Here is a 1,223-nt window from a genome sequence, read left to right as displayed (position 1 = left end):
CAGGTATGCCATTGACTAAAGCCCATCAATGTGGAGCATCTAAAAATCAGGGAAGCGTCCTTCCTTGCCACCCCTCACCCTTTCCTCAGTCACGTCAAAAGTTTTCCTTAAACATTCTTCAATGCAATCCATCCTTCAGGTTATGGACCTTTCTAGCCTAAGAAAACAAAGGCAGCAAGTGACATATTCTGTCTAGTGGCTCTCCTCAGTGTGGCTGGAATTTCATTTCAATGAAGCAGATGACTTGTTAGGGAGGCTGAGTTGAGATATCAATTTATTTGAAGGAAAAGAGGAGGTTAAATTTGGGGCTGTCATTCTGAGCAATGCCCTTGCAAGACAGATGATACCATCTTCCCTTTTCAATAGCCTTCCTGGCATCTAATTTGCATGAGTTGTGAGATAACGCTCAGCCCTGTCTCATTTGCAAATCCAGAAACATAAGGGACAGACACTAAGGCCTCAATCAGTAAATCCAGAGAGTGTAGCAAGGTTAATTCTTCTCATTTTTAGTGACAGAAATAATGCATTGGTAACTTCATGGATGGGAAAAAAGAACTTGTGAAATTATAGCAATATTTACTTAAGTAAATACTTTTACAGCTCTCGAAATCAGTCAGATAAAGAAATTTATTTTCCCCAAATTGAAGACGTCTGCAGAAGCTCACTTCTTAACAAATGAATAAAATTCTCGATAAGCTAAGAGCAATCAGCAGGGTTGACAGTCATGGCTTCATGATATTTTGGAATAATTACTAAAAGTTGCTTTTTAAAAAAAATTTTTTTTTTTTTTGGTATTTCCTGTTCCTCATTGGAATCTAGCTCTGTGGCATTCACTGCCTTAAGTTAAGGGGAATGAAAAAGAAAGCCAAACAAACCAACAAACAAAAAACCAAGTTTGGAATTTTTTTCAAAAGAACAACCTAGCCTTCAAGAATACTTAGGGAATAAATGATAGAGCTGGAAGAATACAACATGAGCCAGAGCCAGGAATCAAGTCAGGAGACTACGTGGGATTCCACACATTGGGAGGTGGAAACAAGTCTAAGGAGAAACAATGTGATGTAGCTTAGATATTACAGGTTCCTAAAAAGCAGGAGCGAGGGGTGTGTCCACCTTGACCTAGCTCCTCAGGCTAATTTGGGATAAAGAGGGCAATAAAAAAGTAACAGGTGTTGTTAGCAGCCAAATGTATCTGAGCTACGTGGCACCAAATTATGTTAATG

At 39.0% G+C, this 1,223-nt stretch overlaps 1 annotated feature.

Moving 5' to 3' along the window:
• Window positions 272-472: a silencer, noted in NCBI's record as "peak2899 fragment used in MPRA reporter construct". NCBI's record gives its function as "represses an SCP1 promoter by STARR-seq MPRAs in K562 erythroleukemia cells {active_cell/tissue: K562}" and the evidence as "EXISTENCE:reporter gene assay evidence [ECO:0000049][PMID:32103011]".

The sequence above is a fragment of the Homo sapiens genome, chromosome 17 (assembly GCF_000001405.40).
Source record: "Homo sapiens chromosome 17, GRCh38.p14 Primary Assembly".
NCBI classification, from domain to species: domain Eukaryota; kingdom Metazoa; phylum Chordata; class Mammalia; order Primates; family Hominidae; genus Homo; species Homo sapiens.
The sequence above is the reverse complement of the archived record's forward strand: the minus strand, read 5'-3'. Positions and strand labels throughout refer to the sequence as shown.